The following is a 22,899-nucleotide window of genomic DNA, read 5'->3' as shown; positions in this document are numbered from 1 at the left end:
GTATTGATTTATCAGCTTTAGGCAATAACTGTTGGCCCCATAATATGAAAAGGAAAGAACAAACTGCCACCTCCCATCCTATGTTTAATAACTAGATTTAGTTCCTCTATTTGCTACTCTGAGTTTTAAAGATTTAAACCTCTATTTTCCCTTCAACTTTTGACAGAAATCTTGATTCCCTAGTTAGTGAGACAAAGCTATGAGCATTTGGATTCTTCCTTCCAAACTTTCCTCTTAGTTTCTCCATGTCTTGCTATCTACCAGCTACACCTTTACACTTACAGGACCTATTACCACTTACATTTTGACTTTTAACCACAATTCAGTCATCTATTCTTTTACATAGCCAAATAAGTATTACTCAGTGCTGAACCAAACTGTATTCTGATTTTCCTTTTTCTGTCTGGGAGCAGTATCAGAAGCCCTCAGCCTCAAAAGAAACTGTTCCTAGCATTAAGGTCAAACAGACTTGCTATTCTTACATTCTATCAATTGCTTTGTGTACTTCACATTTGGACCATGACTCTTGCTTTCCTTGGCTTTTCTCATTGCCTTTCTTTTTTCTTCTATTGTTCACCTTTATCCAAGCCTCAATCTTCTCTAAGCTCCCAAGCCATACCCGCGTTAAATCAGGATCTCATCTTGGCTCACACTCCCTTCTCAGAGCCCCTGGACCTTTCTGCAGCAATGTAGACCTGATGTTCTGCCGGGCCTGCTACACAGGATCATGCTGGAACAGCCCTTCATGGCTATCCTGGGGTAACTGGATTTGATCTGGGATCTGATGTTCCCCCTTGTTTGAATTACTTTCTTAAATACTGTCCTAATAGCATATGACAGGTAAACTGAGTGTGACTCTGCATATACAAAAATGTCTTTATGCTGCTCTCACTCTTGATAGTTTGGGTGTAAAACTCCAGGTTGAAAAACATTTTCTTCAGAACCTTGATGGCACTGCTGTAATTAATTCTAGTATCCAGTGTTGCCAGTGGAAATTCTGGTGTTAGTCTGACTCTCAAAAGGGTAACTTCTTTTTTTTGAGACAGTCTCTCTCTGTTGCCCAGGCTGGAGTGCAGTGGCATGATCTCTACCTACTGCAACCTTTGCCTCCCGGGTTCAAGTGCTTCTCATGCCTCAGCCACCCAAGTAGCTGGGATTACAGGCATGTGCCATCACGCCTGGCTACTTTTTGTACTTTTATTAGAGATGGGGTTTTGCCATGTTGACCAGGCTGGTCTTGAACTCCTGGCCTCAAGGGATCCGCCTACCTTGAGGCCCCAGCTACCTCAGTCTCCCAAAGTGCGTGAACCACCGTGCTCCACCACGTTCTCTACTTTACCCAAGGCATTCTCAACAGCATGATGGTGAGCCTATGTGGGACCTCTTTCACTCCACAGACTTAGGACATGAATTTCCTGGAAACTCTTTTTATTGTGTGTGGATCGTTTCATTTGTATGTTTTCTGTCCTCTTTCTGAAACCTCTGTTAACTAGTCAGGTGGTGAACCTCCTGGGTTAATCTACCCTTTCTCTCATTTTCCCTCCTTCTCTGTGGTTCTGAGATTTTTCAACTGTATTTTCTGGTATTTATACTGACATTTTTAATTTCAGTAGTCACATTTGCAGTCTTCAAGAGCTCTTTGTTCTGACTGTGCCTTTTACATAACAGATCCTAATCTTATTCTGTGGGTTTAACATGTTCCCAAAATTCTAAGCATTTTGCCTAGAAGTTTTCCTACAGTTCTTTGTGTTCCTGGATTATCTGTTTCTTGTAGTTTTTCTGTTGGTTTGCTTCGGCCATTGCCTTTTATGCTGCTAGCTCTCATCACATGCCTGATAATCCCTGTTCTCTTTTGTTCTGATGTTGTATAAAAAGGTCCATTTCTGGCTCGCTCTCACCCTGAGCAGGAATTCTGAAAGGGAGTCCTGGGTGGGGCTGCTGACTCCAGGGATTCGCTTTAGGCTGAGTGGGTAGCCAGCTAGTTATCAGACTGCAAACCACTCTTCAAATGCCAGAATGAGGACAGCTTAATTCTTGGGGTCCCAGCATTCACACTAGAAGCCCTAGTTTTAGGCATTTTTTTTATTTCTAGTGTCATGACTTGGCCTAATCTACTTCTATAAAGACTTCATTCTTGGCCGGGTGCGGTGGCTCACACCTGTAATCCCAGCTATCTGGGAGGCTGAGACATAAGAATTGCCTGCACCCCGGAGATGGAGGTTTCAGGAGCCGAGATTGTACTACTGCACTCCAGCCTGAGTGATAGAGAAAGATGGTCTCAAAAAAAAAAAAAAGAATTCATTATTTTTGTGCATTGTAATCAATTTAAGCTCTGTAAAACGTGTACATGTCAACATTCCCCTATCTGCCTGTCCCCAGAAAGTGCTATGGGTTTGGTATTTTCCCCACAGCCAGGGTGTTAAGTGCCAGCAGCCCCTACTCCAGACAGAGGTAGGGAACGATGGAATCACCTGGTCTCTGTGGACCCCTGTGTGGTCCTTCACTTCCAGACCCACTCCTCTCTCCTAGTCCCTGCTTTACCTGATCACTCTTGGTTGGGGGGCGGGGAGGGGCACATGATGAACTCTAGACTTGGCTCCTTCCCCTGCTAAGGTCATAAGCCCAGATCCCATCTGCTTTCTGCTTCTTCATAATCTCTAAACTATTAGGGAGCCTTGAGGAGCCAGGAAGCAAAACCATATACCTAGTTTGCCATCTGGAACCACAAGTCAAAATACAATCATTTCTTGCATCAGATTTTCATCCCAGCCTAGCTTCCCCCCCAGTTTGAAGGGGGATGCCTTTCCCCAGCTGTTACCACAACGTCTCTCTTATCATGACTACCACTCCTCACATACTATGTATGCCTAAATAAATGAATATAACGGGGAAAAACATTCCAAACTTTTTTTTGGCTAACATATATATTTAAGCTTTATGAACGCAGATGAAAGTCAACTGACATTTGATCGTTTAAATTTATACAAACATTTAAAATCACACATACTAAACATTCATTTAAAAATAATTTTATTTGTATTTCATCAAGCAATTTTAATCAAACTCTGTATGTTTCTTTGATATTACTTCATCAGAGAGCAATGCCTAACCCAGTTTTCTAGAACATTTCCAGGATGTTTTAAAGTTTGTAACATCCAGTACTTGCAATTACGATGCTAAATCCTGAGGAATGAGTATTGAATGTGAACTAAATTTCTTTGCTTCTTTTTTTTTTTTTTTTTTTTGGAGACAGAATCTCGCTCTGTCACCCAGGCTGAAGTGCAGTGTTGTGATCTCGGCTCACTTCAACCTCCACCTCCCAAGGTTCAATCGATTCTCCTGCTTCAGCCTCCTCAGTAGCTCGCACTACAGGTGCCCGCCACCAAGCCTGGCTAATTTTTGTATTTTTAGTAGAAATGGGGTTTCACCATGTTGGCCAGGCTGGTCTTGAACTCCTGACCTCAAGTGATCTCCCCAACTCAACCTCCCAAAGTGTTAGGATTATAGGTGTGAGCCACCACAGTGACCTGCCTCCTTCTTTAAATTATTTATTTTTATTTAAAACCAAAGTTAACCTCTATCAGCATTCACAACTAAAATGGATTGAGGTCCTTTTAGATTAGCCAAGGTGTTTAGAACAGATGACTGTGTCATTCCAAAATAAAGTAGTCAGAAGGGCAGCTCTCATAAGAGAACAATTTTGTAATGTTCAAATACAAGGAGAATAATTTTGGGGTAAAAATAAATATTGCTTTGTATTTGGATTATAAAGAAAACACCTATTCTAGACCCCTACATCAGAGAGCTGTCTATGCTATGGGCACAGACATATGCTAGCAAGGGCACCTGGGACAATCCCTCTCTTCCTGGGGGTGCTGAGGCCCTTCCACACACAGGCTATGTTGTACTTAGCCATTTTGGGTCATCAGACCATCCAATGGAATGGTTAACGCTTCTAGCCTTAGCTAGGCTGGCCATATGTCCAGGTTTCCCCAGGACAGTCCTGGATCATACCTGTTGTCTAAAGATTGAACATTCACTCCACTCCCTTTCATTAAACGTGTCCTAGTTTGGAAGATGAATGATATGGTCACCCCAGGCTCGGATAGAAAGCTGGCAAAGAAACCTGACTGATGCAGCAGCTTGAATTCAACAGCACCACGCTTCAAATCTCAACAGTGCAGCTGCATCTGGCCCTGGTATGGTTTCACAGGCACAGGTGAGTTATTTTGGTCTGGGAAGCCATATGGCCAGTCTCCACGTGATCAGGATACCTGAGGGTAAGCTCATCTGGTCAAAGCTCACTGGCCTTGTAAGAGTCCCTCTCCTTTCCCGCAGCTTGACCCTCCAGGTATCCACTGACAGAAGTACTGTCTCTCCTCTGGCTGCAGGGGGAAGTGCCTGCTCTCTAAGGGCCAGTGATTAACAGGGAATGTCCACACCCTCTACCACTTCCTGGCTGCCCTCAGCAAACCTGGTGGCCTGCCTCGACTGCTTAGTCTTTACTCTCCTCTCTTTAGTTAAGGGTCCCCCCACTTCCCTGCCTTCCCCACCTGGTGAAGAAAAGCAGAGGAGGCGTTAAAGCTTGTTTGTGCGTTTATCCAAACCCTGTGCCTCTGCCTCTGTAAACTCTTCTCCCTTTAAACAAGAAGTCAATCTACCAGACTAACACCTCATATCAGGCTTTCTAGCCTATATGCATGTTGGTGTGTGTGTACTTTAAGTTATAAAAAAAACTATTTTCCTTATTTTGGTGACTGATTTGGAGATCTAAAAAGACATCTGAGAACTCTGTACTCACAACAGGTTCTATCCAGCAGTAATGAGCTAGGCTTCAGCAACTATTATTGTATTCAGTTTGTCCCATTTTATCAGTCCCAAAGAATCACTTCAGAATAACCTGGAAGGAAACTATTTCAGTATATATATGTTTTCCTACAAGTAGTTAAGATAAGGAAGGGACTTCTTTTTCAGGGAAAAGTCACTGCTGTTCACAACTATTTAGCAGCAGCTGCAGTCAGGGTTGGTGTCTGGATGTGAAATTCACACTCTTGCTGGCCCTTCTCCATGGGGCAGGGCTGAGAGGCATCTAGAATGAAACTTGGTGAGGGCACACATCTTACCATTTTCACCCAGCAGTTATCCCAAGCTTTGAGAGCAAGGTCTGGCACGTGGCAGGCCCTCAGTAAGTATTTACTGAGCAATATTTACCTGGAGGCATTATTAGTAAGAGCCACTCTCCACTGCTCTGTGAGCAGCAAAGCAGGCACCAGAGGTCGTCACTGCCAAGTGACTTGGTGGTAACACCCACCTATGCAATGAGACGTTGAGTTGGGTAGGCAGGATGTTTTCTATTGCTGCTTTAACAAATGGCCGCAAACTTAGTGGCTTAAAACACAGTTATTATAATAGCCTTCATCTTATCTTACTATCTCACAGTTCCTTAGGGCCACAGGCCAACCCAGGTCTCACTTGGCTGCATTCCTTCCTAAAGGTTGTAGGGGAGGATCTGTTTCCTTGCCCTTTCCAGCTTTTTTTTAACTTTTATTTTTGGTTTGGGGGTACACATGCAGGTTTGTTATGCAGCACAACTCGTGTCACCGGGGTTTGCTGTACAGATTATTTCGTCACTCAGGTACTAAGCCTAGTGCCCAACAGGAAAACTTTCCCTGACTCATGGTTCCTTCTTTCATCTGTAAAGCCAGCGGGCGAGCATCTTCAAGTCTCCCTCTTCCACATTACAAGAACCACTGGGCCCATTTGGATAATCCAGGATACTTCCCTGATTTTAACATCAGTTGATAAGCAACGTTGATTCCTTCTGCAACCTAATGCCCCTTTGCCATTTAACCTAATGTAGCAGCAGGTCTGGAGGGTCAGGACATAGGCTTCTTTGTGAATAGCATCCTGCCATCCACAGCAGGAAATCCAAACAGCCTCTTATTCACATTCAGTTGTGCTCAGACACCAAGAACTCAGATCCTAACAATGGCTTAGGTAAAAGTATTTCAGGTTAGGTATTTCCAAAGGGCACATTCTGGGTTAACCCTCTCCATCACTCTCTACTCTTTGAACTGCAGTGGGCTTCTTTCACACCCCTCCAACCACCACCACTCTCCTGGCTCAGGACCTTTGCACAGTTTCTTCTTCTCTCCTTCAGGCATCCTCCTACTCACCCCTTCATGTCTCTGCTTAAAAACCTTCCCCGAGGCAGGTGGATCACGAGGTCAGGAGATTGAGACCATCCTGGCCAACATAGTGAAACCCCATCTCTACTAAAAATACAAAAATCAGGTGGGCACGGTGGCACGCACCTGTAGTCCTAGCTACTCGGGAGGCTGAGGCAGGAGAATCACTTGAACTCAGGAGGCAGAGGTTGCAGTGAGCCGAGATGGCACCACCGCACTCCAGCCTGGGCAAGAGTGAGACTCCATCTCAAAAAAAAAAAACAAAACAAAACAAAAAAAAAACTTCCCACTTTCCAGGCTAGTTCAGGTCCCATCTCTTATAATTATCATTTGCCTTTCCTGCACAGCAATGGCCACAGTTAGTGATTATACGACTGTGTGTGAGACCATTTGCTCACTGTCCTTCTCCCTCCCCAGAAGGTCAGCTCCATGGGGGCAGGGGCCACACCTGTCCTTGTCACTGTTGCATCACCTAGCATCCAGCTCAGTGCCTAGCACTTACAGGACATCCAATGGTTATTTGTAATGAACAAGCCAGGTAATTTACACAATTAAAAGACAAACTCCAGTATTAATAATTCCAACACAGCAGACTTAAAACTTTGAGAAACCTTAAACCATTTCTAAAGTAAATCCTCTAAAGGTGGAAGAAAGTAGGGAATATCCCTGTCAATGCCCCTGCCCAGGAAAGTATCTTGGATTATCCAGATGGGCCCCATGCAATCATCCTTCAGCCCAATACCAGTAAGCCACATGCTCCTTCGAAGGCTCTAGTTCTTAAAAACAAACACAAAAAACCTTTGTATTCCATGTATACTGTGATTTTCTTTCTGAGACAGGGTTTTGCTCTGTTGCCCAGGCTGGAGGGCAGTGCGTAATCATGGCTCACTGCAACCACCTCCTGGGCTCAAGCAATCCTCCCACCTCAGCCCAAGTAGCTGGGACTACAGGTGTGTGTCACCACACCTGGCTAATATTTTGTATTTTTAGTAGAGACGGGGTTCTACAGTGTTGCTCAGGCTGGTCTCGAACTCCTGAGCTTAAGCGATCCTCCTGCCTCGGCCTCCGGAAGTGCTGGGATTACAGGTATGAGCCACTGCGCCCAGCCCTGTACTGTGATTTAAAAAAAAAAAAATTGTGTAACAGTTAGATTATAATTAACATAGCATTGTTTTAAACAAAAAGTTTTGTCTGCAAATCTCTGAGTAAAAGTGATGTAGAAATGCCAGCTGCCAGGTTGAGAACACGACCTTTCACTCTCCACTCTTTCATTCAGCAAACATTTCCTGAGCTCCTTGCTAAGTGACTGCTCTGCCCTATGCTGTGACGGGGCCCACCTCCCTGCCTTAACTAGACTTATTAAAGGAGGCAGTGATTCTAATTTCCAGCAATTCCTACTGAGTAATCCATTTATAAGAGCTGCAAAGGAAAGAGGGCTCTCAAAATCAAATGCTTACTAACAGCTTAGCCTTACAGCAGTTTACTCCAAATACCCACACCACATTTGAGAAACCAAAGCTAGGGCTGAGGAGTTTCAAAAGGCAACTCCAGTTAATGCAGATGCCCTTATCTGTAACTTACCCGGTTACAAACGCCAAAATGAGTCCATTAATATGGGTTTTGAGAGAACACTTAGGAAACTTCAACTTGGCAGACGAAGCTTGAACTTTGTTTCTAATTTTATACTTGCAGAACTAACAGCACTAGCAATTTTGAATGTTGGTAACTGGTTTTTGGATTCCCCACATGGCTACTTATAGATGAGAAAATGCAGGAGAATCACCCTATTCCTATTGATGGGGTCACCACCTGGAGCTGGTCCACCAGGCTCTTTGTTCGCACTCCCACACTGTGCAAATGCTGCCCATTCTCCAAAAAGCACGTGCCCAGCCCCCAATCCCCTCTATATCTCAGCTGAAGCATCACCTCCATTAATGAAGCCTAGTCCTTTCCTGCCTCGTGTGTTGCTTTGTTGCTGCTCACACCTTTAGACAAGACTTGCTGCCACTGACTCCCACCAGTCCCTGTTCCCTGGAAGAAATCAAGGAAGCCCACCTTGATCTCATTTGAGCTCCTAATTTTACAGAAATAGGGACAAAGGTTCAAAGGGAGCCTCACAGGTCGCATGGTCAACTACGCAACCTGCATTTAAGGCCTCTGGTAGTCAAAGCAATGAACCACCTATAAAGAACTGGAAGGTTGAGGGAAGCCGGAGAAAGAAAACGGACTACATTCCACCTCTTTCTAAATCAAATTCCAAAACCATATTTCATTACAACATCTACAAGAAATCCCTAAAATGTCAAGTTCCTTCACAATCTTAATAGGTAAAATTACCAAAGTAAAAATGAAGGGAGGAAAAGACGATAGAGAAGATAATATAAATATCTTTAAGTACCATGTGATTTCAAAAAGAACAGGTTTTTGAATCATAAAAGTAGATACTAGAACAGTACACCACCACTCCCCTCTGTCCCTCGGATTATTAGGAGTTTGCAGGAGCTCGCAGCAGACAGTGAAAGTGGCCACCTTCAGGCAAAACACAAACATAAGGGTCGATCACGACAGCAAGGTAGATGGATGTACAAGTCAGTCGATACTTGCCAGTTTCTCCTCAAGTTTGCTGGTTGCTCCTCTCTTCCACCAGCTCTTAGACCTTTTCCTCATCTCTAGCTGCGCTCTCATCCTGTGGCTGGAAACACCATCCATTCACTGATAACTCTCAAAACACCTCTTTTCAGCCCCAGCCTCTCTCCTAACTCCATACTCAGATATTCAATTGCCTAGTAAACATTTCCACTTAACATCTCATATTTAACACATTCAAAATAGAACTCAGCTTCTCCCCCAGCCAGGCTTGCCATAAGCATTCCCTTTTTTTTTTTTTTTTAAGATAGTCTCGCTCTGTTGCCCAGGCTGAAGTGCAGTGGTGCGATCTTGGCTCACTGCAACCTCTGCCTCCTGGGATCAAGTGATTCTCCTGCCTCAGCCTCCCGAGTAGCTGGGATTACAGGTGCCCACCACCACACCAGGCTAATTTTTGTATTTTTAGTAGAGACAGGGTTTCACCATGTTGGCCAGTCTTGTCTTGAACTCCTGACCTCAACTGATCTACCGGCCTTGGCCTCCCAAAGTGCTGGGATTACACCACCGTGCCCGGCCTCCTTCCCTATTTTTATTTAAAAATTTTTTTCTTTTGAGACAGAGTCTCACTCTGTCACCCAGGCTGGAGTGCAGTGGTGCAATCTTGGCTTACGGCACCCTCCGCCTCCCAGGTTGAAGTGATTCTCATGCCTCAGCCTCCCAAGAAGCTGGAATTACAGGAATGTGCCCCCACGTCCAGCTAATTTTTGTGTGTGTATATATATACACACACACAAAATATATTTATATATACAAGATAAATATATTTATATTTATTTAAATTTATATAATTTATATATAATATAAATATATATTTGTATATAAATATATAAATATATTTGTATATTATATAAATACATAAATTATATATATATTTTATATATATATACACATACATACAAAATATATATATATTTAGTAGAAATGGGGTTCCGCCATGTTGGCCAGGCTGGTCTCAAACTCCTGGCTTCAAGTGATCCACCTGCCTCAGCCTCCCAAAGTGCTGGGATTACAGGCTTGAGGCACCATGCCCGGCCCCCTTCTCTATCTTACTAAATGTACACCATCTACCCAGGTGCTCAGGCCAGAAACCTAGAAGTCATCATTGATTCTTCACTTGCCCTTATATCCCACGTCCAATGCATCAGTAAAGTCTACAGGCTCTACCTCCACATTTTACTCTGACCACTTCTCAGTAGTTCCTTTCCAGTATTCTCACTGCCAACTTTAATCCAGTTTGTGATCAACCCTTTCATTTGTGTTTTGCTTCAAGGTGGCCACTTTCACTGTCTGCTCTGAGCTCCTGCAAACTCCTAAAACAAAGGCCTGAGTCACCATCACATCATACCTGAACAACTATAGTATCATTCTAACTGGTTTGCTTCTACTCTTGTTCCACCCGAGCCCGTCCTCCACATCTGTTCTTTGCAACTGCTGTTCTTTGCACATCTCAGGTCATATCACATCATTCCTCTGCTTACAGCCCTCCAGTGGGTTCCGATGGGCAATGGAATGAAATTTGAATTCCTGCCACATTCTACAAGGCCCATGGTGAGTGGCCCTTTCTCTGCCTCTCCAGCTGCACCCTCTAAGGTGTGCACTCCTGCCACACTGACTCCGTTTCTGTCCTTTGAACATAGCAGCCTCATTTCCATCTCAGAGTAACCGCAGTCGCTTCCTTTGGTTCCGAACACTCTTGACTCAGATCTTCGCTGGTTGCATCCTTCACATTCCTCAGGGCTAACTCCACCATCCTCTTCTCTCTCTTTTTTTTTTTTTTTTTTTTTGGAGAGGAAGTTTCACTCTCATTGCCCAGGCTGGAGTGCAGTGGCATGATTTCGGCTCACTACAACCTCTGCCTCCCGGGTTCAAGCAATTCTCCCGCCTCAGCCTCCCAGGTAGCCTGGATTACAGGCATGTGCCACCATGCCGGGCTAATTTTGTATTTTTAGTAGAGACGGGGTTTCTCCATGCTGGTCAGGCTGGTCTCAAACTCCCAACCTCCCAAAGTGCTGGGATTATAGGCGTGAACCACCACACCCAGCCAACCATCCCCTTTCTCACAGAGGCCCTTCCTTGAACAGCCTAGCTACCAGCTTTCTCTAAATCACCCCTACATTCACCTGATGTAATAATCTTCACAATCTTCATCAGTACCTGAGATCGTGAAAGTCAGCTGTCCCATCTTTCCTCCCCTAGAATGCTGTTAGCTCCATGGGCACAGGGACTCTTCTTCTGTTCCCTGAATACAACATCTGGAGCAGTAGCTGGTATATCCTTGGCATTCAATAAATGGGATGAATACAACCTTAGGTACCTTAGGTAGATATTATTCATGCATCCCAATATTTTTCTTCGCCAAAAAAGTAGCAAACGAACTACTCATATTTGTAGGACATTCTATAATTACAAAATCCTTCACATATACTTTTATTCAAATATCTCAGCAATTGGGGGGTAAGTATCTTCATTCTAGAAAATAAAAATCTGAGGCCCAGACATTCCCTGACATGGGTAGGGCTTCCAGCCCAGTGCCCTTCCCACTGTGCAGCATTCTTCCCACCACAATTGGGAGCCCTCCTCCTCCATCTAGCCACACCCTGGCCATCCACCAGGAGCTGCCCCTCCTCCTTTCACTTCCCAGGCACACAAGGACTTTGACGCCTGTGCTCACATTTTCCTGCCACCTTGCCCCCAACCCCATAAACACTGTCAATTACCAAGCTCCAGCTCCAGGCCTTACCTACGATTTTGCCTTCAAGACCCCTAACTCAAGTTTCATCATCTCCAAGGGCAAGTACTTCTCCCAATTTCACTTTACTAGGCTATAAACTCCTTGAGGGCAGGAAGCAGATCCTGCTTTTTTTTGTAACCTTAAGGGTGTTTGGAGAAGAAAAACCAAACCCTATTTTTAAATTATACTTACTGGATAATCCAGTTGGGCAAGTGTGAGCTAAAATTCACAGTGGAACAAATCCAGCCCGGAATTTTCATGTTTACACAGAAAGTTGGTTAAAAGGCTGAGGCTCTCTTTTGACTATAAACTACAACTCCACATTCAAAAGACTAGATTTCTAATAACCTTCTAAGAAATCACAAACATAGCCTACTTTCAAAGGAGGCAAACAAGCTATTATTAATAATGCCCCAACAGCTATCATCTCCTATGCTCTCATATTAGGTACTCTGCCTAATAACATGAGACACTATAAGAGACAATAATATAAGAGACACTATTGCCATTACCCATTTTACAAATGTGGACACAAATTGAGAAGACAAGTAACTTGTCCAAGGTCACACAGCTGGTAAGTGACAAACCAGGAGTTGTGCCTAGCACTCCTGGGCTCCCAGATCTTGCTCTAAACCACTACTCCAAGAGTCTCCTTTCTGCTTGATTTGATGACATCACTACACCCCAGTTTACTCATTAAAAAAAATCTATTACAAGAGCATGGTCAGTTATAATTAACGTCTATTAAGTACTTTGAGATCTGTGCTAAAGGCAAAATTAAAGGCAAAGAATACCTGTTACCTTTAACTGGAGCACAAGACCAGCAATTTTATCCTGGCCTTCCCAAAATTTCACAAGATGCCTTCTTTCCTGCCTCCTTGAAAGAGCATGCTAGAACTAAACCCATTTTCTAGTGAATATGATGCTCATGTGACATTTGCGCCTGAGGGTTCTAGTTCTTAACCTGACTCAGTTAAGTCCAGACTGAGTGTCTGGACTTTACTATGGGTGTGTCTCATTAAGAGCAAGGGAGCTCATGCAGTAAAGGAACATCCAAAGCAGAACGTGTTTTTAACATCCACAACTTTCAACTCCTTCAGCTCAAAGTCTTTACCACGTACCGGGGGAAAAAATGTGAAATCACAACCCTCAATTTCAACTATTTAAAGGGAATATGCTAATAAGAGCGGTCAGATCAGGAAAATGGAGGAGGAGACAGGAAAAGAATTCTGGAATTCTGGTTCTATCCCTAGGATCTATTTTTGGTGTGACCTTGGTCCACCAACACTTGCTTCTTACCTCCCAACATAAGAATTTCAATAACCTCAAGGAAAAAAGAATAACATTAGCAACAACATAAAAATCACAAAAGCAACTGGCCTGCATTTAAAATGATCAAGAATTCCACTTCAACAGAAATTTGTAAGTACAGAAATAAATATATAACTAGCTCATTTTAAAATAAAATTGGGGCTGGGTGTGGTGACTCACACCTGTAATCGTAGCACTTTGGTAGGCTGAGATGGGCGAATCACTTGAGATCAGGAGTTCGAGGCCAGCCTAGTCAACATGGTAAAACCTCGTCTCTACTAAAAATACAAAAATTAGCTGGGCATAGTGGTGGACGCCTGCAATCCCAGCTACTTGGGAGGCTGAGGCATGAGAATAGCTTGAACCTGGGAGGCGGAGATCACACCACTGCACTCCAGTCTGGACGACAGAGTGAGACTCCATCTCACAAAATAAAAAATAAATAAATAAAAATAAAAATAAAATTTGGCTAGGCGTGGTGCCTCACACCTATAATCCCAGCACTTTGGGAGGCTCAGGCAGGGAGATCACTTGAGGTCAGGAGTTTGAGACCAACCTGGCCCACATGGCGAAACCCCATCTCTACTAAAAATACAAAAATTAGCCGGGCACGGTGGTGCACACCTGTAATCCCAGCTACTTCAGAGGCCAAGGCACAAGAATCGCTTGGACCTGGGTGGTGGAGGTTGCACTAAGCCAAGATTGCGCCACTGCACTCCAGCCTGGGCAACAGAGTGAGACTCTGTCTCAAAAAAATTAAAAATAAAATTAAATTAGGTGAAAAGTTTTCAGCTGACCAAGCAATTCATACCACTAAGACATCTCTTAAAGAGCCACAATAAAACACTGTCTACTGCAGCAAGGAAAAATGAAAGTCCAAGTTCTGATAATTGTCTCCAGGCAATCCTGTTCTTTCAGTTTCACAAGGCAGCTGCCAGATCTTGTCAAATGTGGCATTTAATCATTTCCTGTGCTTCTGAATTACCAGATACCCGACTTATCAGTTGCCAAATGACATTTGTGATTTGGAGTCCAATCTCTAGTGAGTTTTCCTTTCAAGAAACCAAGTCTAGGAAACTGTACACACTTGGATTGTGAGCTCACCATTTCCATCCCTGACCTTTGCACAGTGCTCGGCACATAGTAGATGCTTAGTAAATTTCTGTTATGGGAATAAAGTTTTATCATTAATTCATCACTTTTAATAATTTTAAATTCTAGCATGTTGTGACCAAGCAGGTTTTTCTATTTCAAGTGTACCAAGCATAAATATTATCAGTGTTAACTCAAAAAATAAGATTCATGTCTTAAAACCTGTTATCAAATAGTTCATCTGCAAAGGAAAAAGCGACTTTAAATTCCATCATTTTTCAATAAAATATTTTAAATAAAAAACAAGAAGAGAAAAGATAGACTTAATGAGCTCACACCTGGTGGGTCACCATACCCATTTTACTACTCCAATAGTTTAGGAAATACAAATTTTTCAATGCTTTGAAAAGGAAATTAATATGGTCACAGTTTATTTTCTAAATGAGATAAATGAAACAACAGGCTTAGTAGCTCTGCCAGAGAGTGCTGGCTGTCACCCAACATCAGTTCTCCTCTTTCCCATAGTAAAAGACTTTTTAGCTGGGCATAAGGCCACCCTGAATAACTACTACTCAACTGAACCTCCCTCTTTAGCTGGATGTGCCACACAACTCAGTTCTGCTGAATAGGACGTGTGACAAAGCATCACACTGCTGCTTCCAATAATTTTCCTTAGAAGATGGCATGCATGTGCCTTTGGCTCTGTTCTTTGCTCCTTTCTTCAGCTGCCTGGAATGTAGGTGCCACCACCTTGAGTTTGAGGTTGAGGCTCCAGTGGTGGAGCAATAAGAGAGCAAGTCCTGGGTCCCAACACCTCAGACCAGCTACCCAGATTTTTAGAGGCCGGGAAGACAAAGACAAAGCAAAAAGCAAAACCAAAAGAGGTCTTTCAGGCTTTTTTTTTTCTTTTTTTTTTTTTTAAAAAAGACGGAGTCTCACTCTGTCGCCCAGACTGGAGAGCAGTGGCGCAATCTCAGCTCACTGCAAGCTCCGCCTCCCGGGTTCAGGCCATTCTCCTGCCTCAGCTTCCCGAGTAGCTGGGACTACAGGCGCCCACCACCATGCCCGGCTAATTTTTTGTATTTTTTGTAGAGACGGGGTTTCACCGTGTTAGCCAGGATGGTCTCGATCTCCTGACCTCGTGATCTGCCCGCCTCGGTCTCCCAAAGTGCTGGGATTACAGGCGTGAGCCACCGCGCCCGGCCTTTTTTTTTTTTTGTTAAAAAAAAAAAAAGAAAAGAAAAAGACAACAGATTTAGAAATAGGATACTAAGAACAACAAAGGCAATTTACAAAGTATAAATACCAGCCGGGCACAGTGGCTCATGCCTGTAATCTCAGCAGTTTGGGAGGCTGAGGCGGGCAGTCGCTTGAGGTCAGAAGTTCAAACCAGCCTGGCCAACATAGCAAAACCCTGTCTCTACTAAAAATACAAAAAAATTAGCCAGGCATGGTGGTGGGCGCCTGTAGTCCCAGCTACTTGGGAGGCTGAGACAGCAGAATCACTTGAACCTGAGAGGCAGAGGTTGCAGTAAGCCAAGAGCCCGCCACTGCACTCCAGCCTGGGTGACAGCAAGACTCTCTCTCAAAACAAAACAAAACAAACAAAACCTACAGAAATCAAGTTATATGCCTAAACGCTTACATTGTTTAATACTCCATTCCTGCACTTACAGATTTAAGAATATTTAGGGACCAGTATGGCTTGGGAACCAATTAGCGAGCACAGATGGTGGCCATAGCACGGGAGCTACAATCCAGGGGCTCCTCGCTTATGAGGGCATTTCCCCTTTATTGCTGGGTTGTGGGGGGGAAATACGTGGCGATTAGGGGGGTTCCTATGTGAAAACTGGCCAGGGAAGTAGAGAAAGAAACTCAGGGGGGTTTGGGGCAAAGCTATTTACAGGTTGAGTATCATTTTTCTGAAATGCTTGGGACTACAAGTGTTTTGGGTTTTTGGTTTTTTTTGGCGGGGGGCGGGGGGCGGGGATTTTGGAATATTTGCATTAATACTTACTGAGCATCCCAAATCTAAAAATCCAAAATCCGAAATGCTCCAATGAATGTTTCTCTTGCATGTCATGTTGGCAGGCACTCAAAAACACTCAAAAAGTTTCCAGCTTTGGAGCATTTCAGATTTTGGTTGTTCATATTTGGGATACTCAACGTGCACCAACCAGAATGAAAGTTATTTCAATATTTTAGCAACTAATACTTCTTTGTGTATACTGAATCAGTCCTACTTGGACTTGCTATTGCTGAGATAATATAGTGTATGCCTGTAGCAGCTACTACCTCCAGAAAGCTTACATCTTCTTTTCTGCTCCATAACAAACTGGCAGACCAAAACCATAATTAGAGATATCAAGGAAGTTACAAGAATGGTGGGTTCAAGTCTTGGCAGTACCACCCGTTAGCTGAGTATCACTATGGATTATCTGTGAAATCGTTCTATCTAAATATTCTCATAGGGTGTTGCAAGGATCAAATGAAACGATGGGCCAGGCATGGTGGCTCACTCCTGTAATCCCAGAACTTTGGGGGCCAAGGTGGGAGGATCACTTGAGCCCAGGAATTTGAGACCAGCCTGAACAACATGGTGAAACCTCATATTTACAAAAAATACAAAGATTAGCCAGGCGTGGTAGTGCATGCCAGTAGTCCCAGGTACTCGGGAGGCCGAGGCGGGAGGATCACCTGAGCCCAGGAGGTTGAGGCTGCAGTAACCCGTGAGTGCACCACTCGTACTCCAGCCTGGGCGAAAGCGTGAGACCCTGCCTCAAAAAAGAAAAAAGAAATAACATCAAGTAACTTTGTAAACTCAACACAGTGATAAAACATGAAACACTATACGCAATCTTACACATTCCAACAAGCCATTCTAATTTTAACACATACATTTTAACAAGCATAAAGTACAGCTAGGACACAAACATTGAAGCCTTCAGGGATCCAACAGCTTGGGCATAAGGCTGGAAACTCGATTGTTGAAAAGACTCTACTAAACCCACTGATAGCGTAGCCTGTGGTCCTATCAGATGGTTAGGATAGAAAGGAATGAGGGCAGCCACTCCTCCAGAATCAGCCGTGACCATTAAAACAACAACGCCGGCCAGGCCACTCTGCACTAGGAATTAATTAATTCACCTTAAATTAATTCATTTAAGGTGAAATGAGGGAAGCATAAAGTTCTTCACTGCAGCACTGCTTTTAACGGCGAAGGATTAGAAATTATCTGAATACCCAGACTGGTTAAATAAATCATAGTTCATCCTCGAAACTGAGTATTATGCAGAGATTAAAAATAATAAGGAAGCTCTTTATTTACAAGATTGAACAGGCATTAAAACATACCAAGAGAAAAAGAGCAAGGTGCAAAAGAATCTACATGGCAAATGGGTAAAAAAAATCTATGTACATATTTGCTTGTAAATGTATAGGTAGCTCTGAAAGATTCACAGTAAGCTGGTAAAACAATGGTTGCCTCCAGGAAGAATAGGATGCCCAGAGATCAAGGGTGGGAGGCTGACTTTCATTCCATCTTTGTAGTTTTAATATTTGTACCATGTGACTGTACTACCTATTCAAAAATAAATTAAAAATGAAATTTTAAAAATGGAGGTCAGTCCATGGACACGAGGGTCACTGAAAATCTTGCAGAGAAAATGATGGAGATAGTGAGGTTAAAAAAAAAAAATCAGCGCCCACAAGTCATGAAGCAAACCTTGTAATTGCATAAAACAAGCTCACACATGCTCTCTTTATGTGGGCAGTTGCTGGCAAAGAGTCAAAGATTGATTTTTACAGCCCGTTCCAGAGGCATGACAACACATCAGTAAAGCAAGCTCACAAACACGTACCTACTGTGCGCCAGGCACTGTGCTGGCAACTGGGGCATTACAATGAAGAGTGAATGTAAGGCAGAGGGCAAACTACATGGAAGAAAAGAGGTGCAACAGCTGAAAAGGTAGATAAGCTTTCCTAGGGAGTCCCACAGTCAAGTGAGCTGCAGCATAAAATGAATGACATCAGAGACAGGAACTCTAACCTTCCCTATGAACATCCATGGCACTGACAGCATTCAGGGGAACCTTTCAGCTATGAAAATACATCCAACAAGAACTCCTCACCCTTCGTCTATCCTCCTTTCAGAAAGGACTGAATCTGTCCTTTCTAGGGGAGTCCCAATATTCAGACTGAAAGCACTGTAAAGTGCTGTTTATAAATAGCTGCAGGGTCCAAATGCTTTAGTCCTGGATGCTGTGGGCACTCCTCAACCTGCCTGGGGCAATCACTTCCTACCGGGAGGAGCTGGGTTCACCCAAGCAGAGTGAGTCAGTGGCCTGAGTCAGGCACCTCGCCTTTCATCTAATCTAAAGCAATGAATGAGGGGTGTGGCGGTAACCAGGACTCCTTATTCAGAAACATGACGCAGGGGTTGGTGAGAAACATGGGGAACACACAGCTGCTTCTGGATTTGTGGCCACAGGCAAATCCGAGCCTAGTTTCTAATGGAGAAATGTTTATCATCTGAGCAACTCAGGATGGTACCTCTCTATGATGAGAAAGAGATCTGGACAAGTTTGATGGGACACGAACCGACGTACTTAAGCTTCTGGTGGCATTTTATAAAAACAGACACATTAGCTAGCTGGACCTCTGCTTAGGGGTGAGGGCGGGATGGGGTTCTAGTGGGAAATGAAGCAGAAACAACTCAGGACAAGAAGGGAATTGTAGGCACAGCTCTGTCTGTAGCTGGCTGCAGGACTATGACAAATCCTAGGTCTCCATTTCTTGTTCTATGAAATGAGGATGGTGGTCTACCTTTCCAGGCCATTCCCCAAGTTCCTTCCCAACTTCTACAAGTGGAAAATAGTTTCAATTGTAAAGAAATTCACAAAAACATTGGGTATTACTAGAATGTGTCTACTCTCGTTCACAGATGAAAACACCTGTGTCTTATGCACTGAGGTTTGATTTTTTTTTTTTTTTTTTTTTTTTTTTTTTTTTTTTAAAGAGACAGCGTCTCCACTCTGTTACCCAGGCTGGAGTGCAGTGACACAATCATAGCTCACTCTCACCTTGAGTTCCTAGGCTCAGGCCTTCCTCCCACCTCAGCCTTCCAAAGTGCTGGGATCACTGGCATGAGCCACCATGCCTGAGTTTAGATTTATTTTAAAGCATATTTTTAAGAGTTACAAGTGTCAGGCTCTGTTAAAGCTCTAGGCAAACACAGATAAATCAGACCCAAACCCCTGCCTTCAGTGGCCTCACAGTTCAGGACCCTCAGTAAGCTTTTATTCTGACAGCTAATAGATAGATAATATTTATTAGTTTCTATTCTGATAGCTCCCAAATAACTTATTAGAAATCTCATCATGAAAACATCAGTAAGAAAAAAGAGAGCCTATTAAACTCAACAGGATGAGAGCAACGGAGAAATTAGTCATTACCAACTCAAGAATCTAGAGCTGCTCCCAGGTAATAGATTAACATGGGTCTAAAGGAAGCAGGGTGGGGAGAAGGGATTAGTGAACAAGGAAAGTATTTGCAAGACAAGCTAAAGATGGCCTTAATACAGAGGACAGCTGTTAGTCCAATTGGTGTTCCCTGAACAAACAGGCACTTCCTTTCAAACTTCAAGCCACAAATCAAGCCTCAGCTTCAATCAGAACACAGAATGCAACTGAAACCACTCTTGGTTTCATCTTAAAGCTACCAAGAGTTAAGGAGTACTAACAACATATAAATGACAAATAAGCTAATATAGCCAGGCATTTTATTAGTTGCAATTTTCTGTTACTCAATTAAAAACTTAAATTACTTGGTTTCTCAAAGGCTGTTGGTGCCAGGTATACAACTGCTGAATTCAACTCATAGCAGTCCTTAACCGGATTGGAAAAACACATAATAAGCTAAGAGACTAAATTTCAACTTGTACCATAAATATGTTAAACTTTAAATTTCATTGCCACTAATACACATTAGAATATAGTACTAAATGATACAGCACAATCATATATTGAGTTAAAGTTTGTTTAGCTTATCAATACTTTATGGCCTCATAATATGAAACAACATCATTTCCGGGCAAGAAATGATGTGAATATACTTAACAATACTGAATCATACACTTTAAAATGGTTAAAATAAATTTTATGTTATGTATATTTTACCACAATTTTTTTTCAAAGTACCAGCATGTAAAAGATCATTCTAAAGAAATGTTTACCCTGGTTCCTGTTCTCTAAAAGCCTTTAGTGTATTTGGGGAATCAAAGAGTTCAACAAATACCTACTGAATATCCATTTCTATGTATTAGATTTGAACCAAAACTGAACAAGATGTCAGCCTTGTTCTTAAGAAGCTCACAAACCAACAGGACTCATATCCATCAGGCATACATTTATAGGGTGCCTTCCATATGCACGGGATTTAGCAAGGCCAGGAGGGCAAACAGGTGCTGTCTTATTTGCAAACACCCACACAACAGTGAAGGCTGACCAATGTTGACCTGAAGAATTCTGAGACTCCACTGAAAAAATGTGCTATGGTCATTTGGAGTGCCCTAGTAAGCAGGGGAAGGGGTGACAGTGGCTGTATTTTCTATCTCTCCCAGCCCACTATGTAGGGGACATTTAAAAACCCAAGATACTGTTCTATTAAGGGCAAGATTTATGTGGCACAAGTTTAACTCCAAGAATGGGCTATTTCACCAAACGGAAGATGTGTATGGCATACCATCAGGTGGACTGGGCACTGGGCAGCTAGGTTTCAGGGCCCACATTACCACTGACTAGCTGTCACTTGACTTTTCTGGGTCTCAGTCTTCCTTCTAGAGAGAAAAGGTTGAGCTGGTCAATGCTTCCCAGCCATTTTCACAAAAGCACTGAATGACAGAGGCAGGTGAACATGTACAGAGGCACAGTGCAAAGCAACCACCAAAAGCTTGCAATGTCTTCGAAGACTTGTGTTTTATATAAGTACACACTTCATTCTGTACTATAATGAAGCTTTTATACCACCACCATGCCACCTCAGGAAGATGTTTCATATCTGATTTGCAGCACACCAGGGGAATGTATGCTCAAGTCCTGATGACTCACACTTTTGCAAAATTCCAAAGATATTCTATTTCCTTTTGAACTCAGATTTCCCTCAAGGTCTATACCAATAATCTTGAAAGAAGAGATTGAAAAACGACAGTATTTTAGAACCCAAAGTGCTGATTGAGCCTCATTTTCTACACTCCTGACAATTCAACAAGGCCATTCGTCATTTTTTATTCAATATATGCACTGAGACGCTGGATGCATTGACTAGGATTACAAAGACAAATCAACCAGGCCAGCAGGAACAGGAAGCACAGCCTTGGCTCTCCTGCTGCGTTCTCGGAGCTGGCTTCCACCCTGTATCACACACACCCAGTCAACGCCCTCCTGTCCACTCAGCCTGCAGGATACACCAGGACTGTGCCATCCAAGGCACTACCCAATTCTAGAGCTGCAGACCCACATGGGAAGAGCTCTCTCCACACCTAAAATGAGTCTTGTAAGAACTCAAAATAAAAAGTCGTGGTTCTCTGTAGCTCAAATATAGCACAAAGGTCTGCAGATTGCCAAAGAGTTTTGACATGCTGCCATCTTCTCTTCCTTCTTCCAAGTCCCATATTTCCCCTTCCTGTCTTCATCAAAACAATGTATACTTCATGGCGGCCTGTGGACTGCCCTCCAGTTGTAGTCTTCCATAGGGAAACTTAACCTTTGACCTGGCCCCCAAAGGGTAACCTCTGCTGTCCACCAGACTGAAAAGATAAGAGAGCTACAAAAACTCCCCAGTGTGAGGGAATTATGTTCATATTTTACTTTAAGGGACCCTAACAGTAAAGGCTGATGTTGATTGGATATGCCGGGCACTCTGCTAAGTGCTTTATCCTCACCTTTAATGTTCACAACCCTCTGAGGTAGGTGCTATTAGTACCTTCATTTGACCAATGAAGATAAGTAATTTGTCCAATGTCAAAATCAACAGAATGTAAAGGAGCTGGGATTCAAATCCACATCCATCTGCCTCAGTGAAGTTCTTACTCCTAATGAGGCAAACTTTTACACAACTACTGAGTAACTTAGGGCTAATGACTTATTATTATTCACTGAGAAATTAGAAGCAATGGAAAAACCCCATGCCCTTCCACCAGGATAATTAGCCACCTACCTGCATCTGTGCCCCTCATCCGACCTTTCTTCCTCATAACTGTGATGAGCTACCCTTGCTCCAGTCATCAGGCCACCTCCCCCACGGTACGTCCTCTCACCTACTCAGTTGGTGAGGTCACACCAACAGTTCTCCCCTCTCTTGCATTAACTTTTCCTTTTTGACTGAATCATCTTCATCAAACCAGCTCACTATAATCTTCTCCCATCTTAAACAAAACGAAACAAAAACCCACTATTTCCCCTTACAGTTGTTGCCATGGCTCTGCTCCCCTCTACAGCAAAACCCCTCAAGAGTTCCTATGGTCTCCAATTCCTTCTCTCCTGTTCTCTCACAAACCCACTCCAATTAGGCATTGCTCCCACTCCTCCCCATCAGTGCTCTCACAAGGTCACCAGTGGCTTCTACATTGCCAATCTAGCGATCAAATCTCAGTAAGTGTCATTTGATATAACTGATCTTTCACTTCCTCTTTGAAACCCCATCATGTGGTTTCCAGGACCACACACTCCCTCCCTCTCCTCCTGCCATGGGTGTCAGTCTCCAGGGCTCTCCCTAACCTCCATGTGTAAGAACACCATAGGGCTCAGGCCTCCATCCCCGTCCTTGGTGCCCTCATCAGTTCATCATTCTAAACACAACCTAGAGGCTCCTCTACTTGCATCACCAATCAAACCTTTCCAACTGAACTTCAGGCTTTTAAATTCAATTTTTTTA

General features: G+C 43.2%; 1 protein-coding gene across 10 annotated transcripts in view, besides 3 other annotated features; it reads right to left on the bottom strand.

The window, feature by feature from the left end:
* The window catches only part of ITGA6 (integrin subunit alpha 6), a 79,124-nt gene that overhangs the window by 45,919 nt on the left and 10,306 nt on the right, over positions 1 to 22,899 (bottom strand). The window lies entirely within an intron of this gene.
* Positions 6,405 to 7,134: an enhancer, noted in NCBI's record as "H3K27ac hESC enhancer chr2:173318135-173318864 (GRCh37/hg19 assembly coordinates)". NCBI's record gives its function as "activates a minimal SCP1, AML or CMV promoter by ChIP-STARR-seq in naive H9 embryonic stem cells {active_cell/tissue: H9 hESC(naive)}" and the evidence as "EXISTENCE:reporter gene assay evidence [ECO:0000049][PMID:30033119]".
* Positions 6,405 to 7,175: a biological region, named in NCBI's record as "H3K27ac hESC enhancer GRCh37_chr2:173318135-173318864".
* Positions 7,006 to 7,175: an enhancer, noted in NCBI's record as "experimental_56002 CRE fragment used in MPRA reporter constructs". NCBI's record gives its function as "activates a minimal promoter by MPRAs in K562 erythroleukemia cells, with activity observed for both the introgressed and non-introgressed 2:173318179 variant alleles {active_cell/tissue: K562}" and the evidence as "EXISTENCE:reporter gene assay evidence [ECO:0000049][PMID:34662402]".

The sequence above is a fragment of the Homo sapiens genome, chromosome 2, assembly GCF_000001405.40.
Source record: "Homo sapiens chromosome 2, GRCh38.p14 Primary Assembly".
Lineage (NCBI taxonomy): Eukaryota > Metazoa > Chordata > Mammalia > Primates > Hominidae > Homo > Homo sapiens.
The sequence above is the reverse complement of the archived record's forward strand: the minus strand, read 5'-3'. Positions and strand labels throughout refer to the sequence as shown.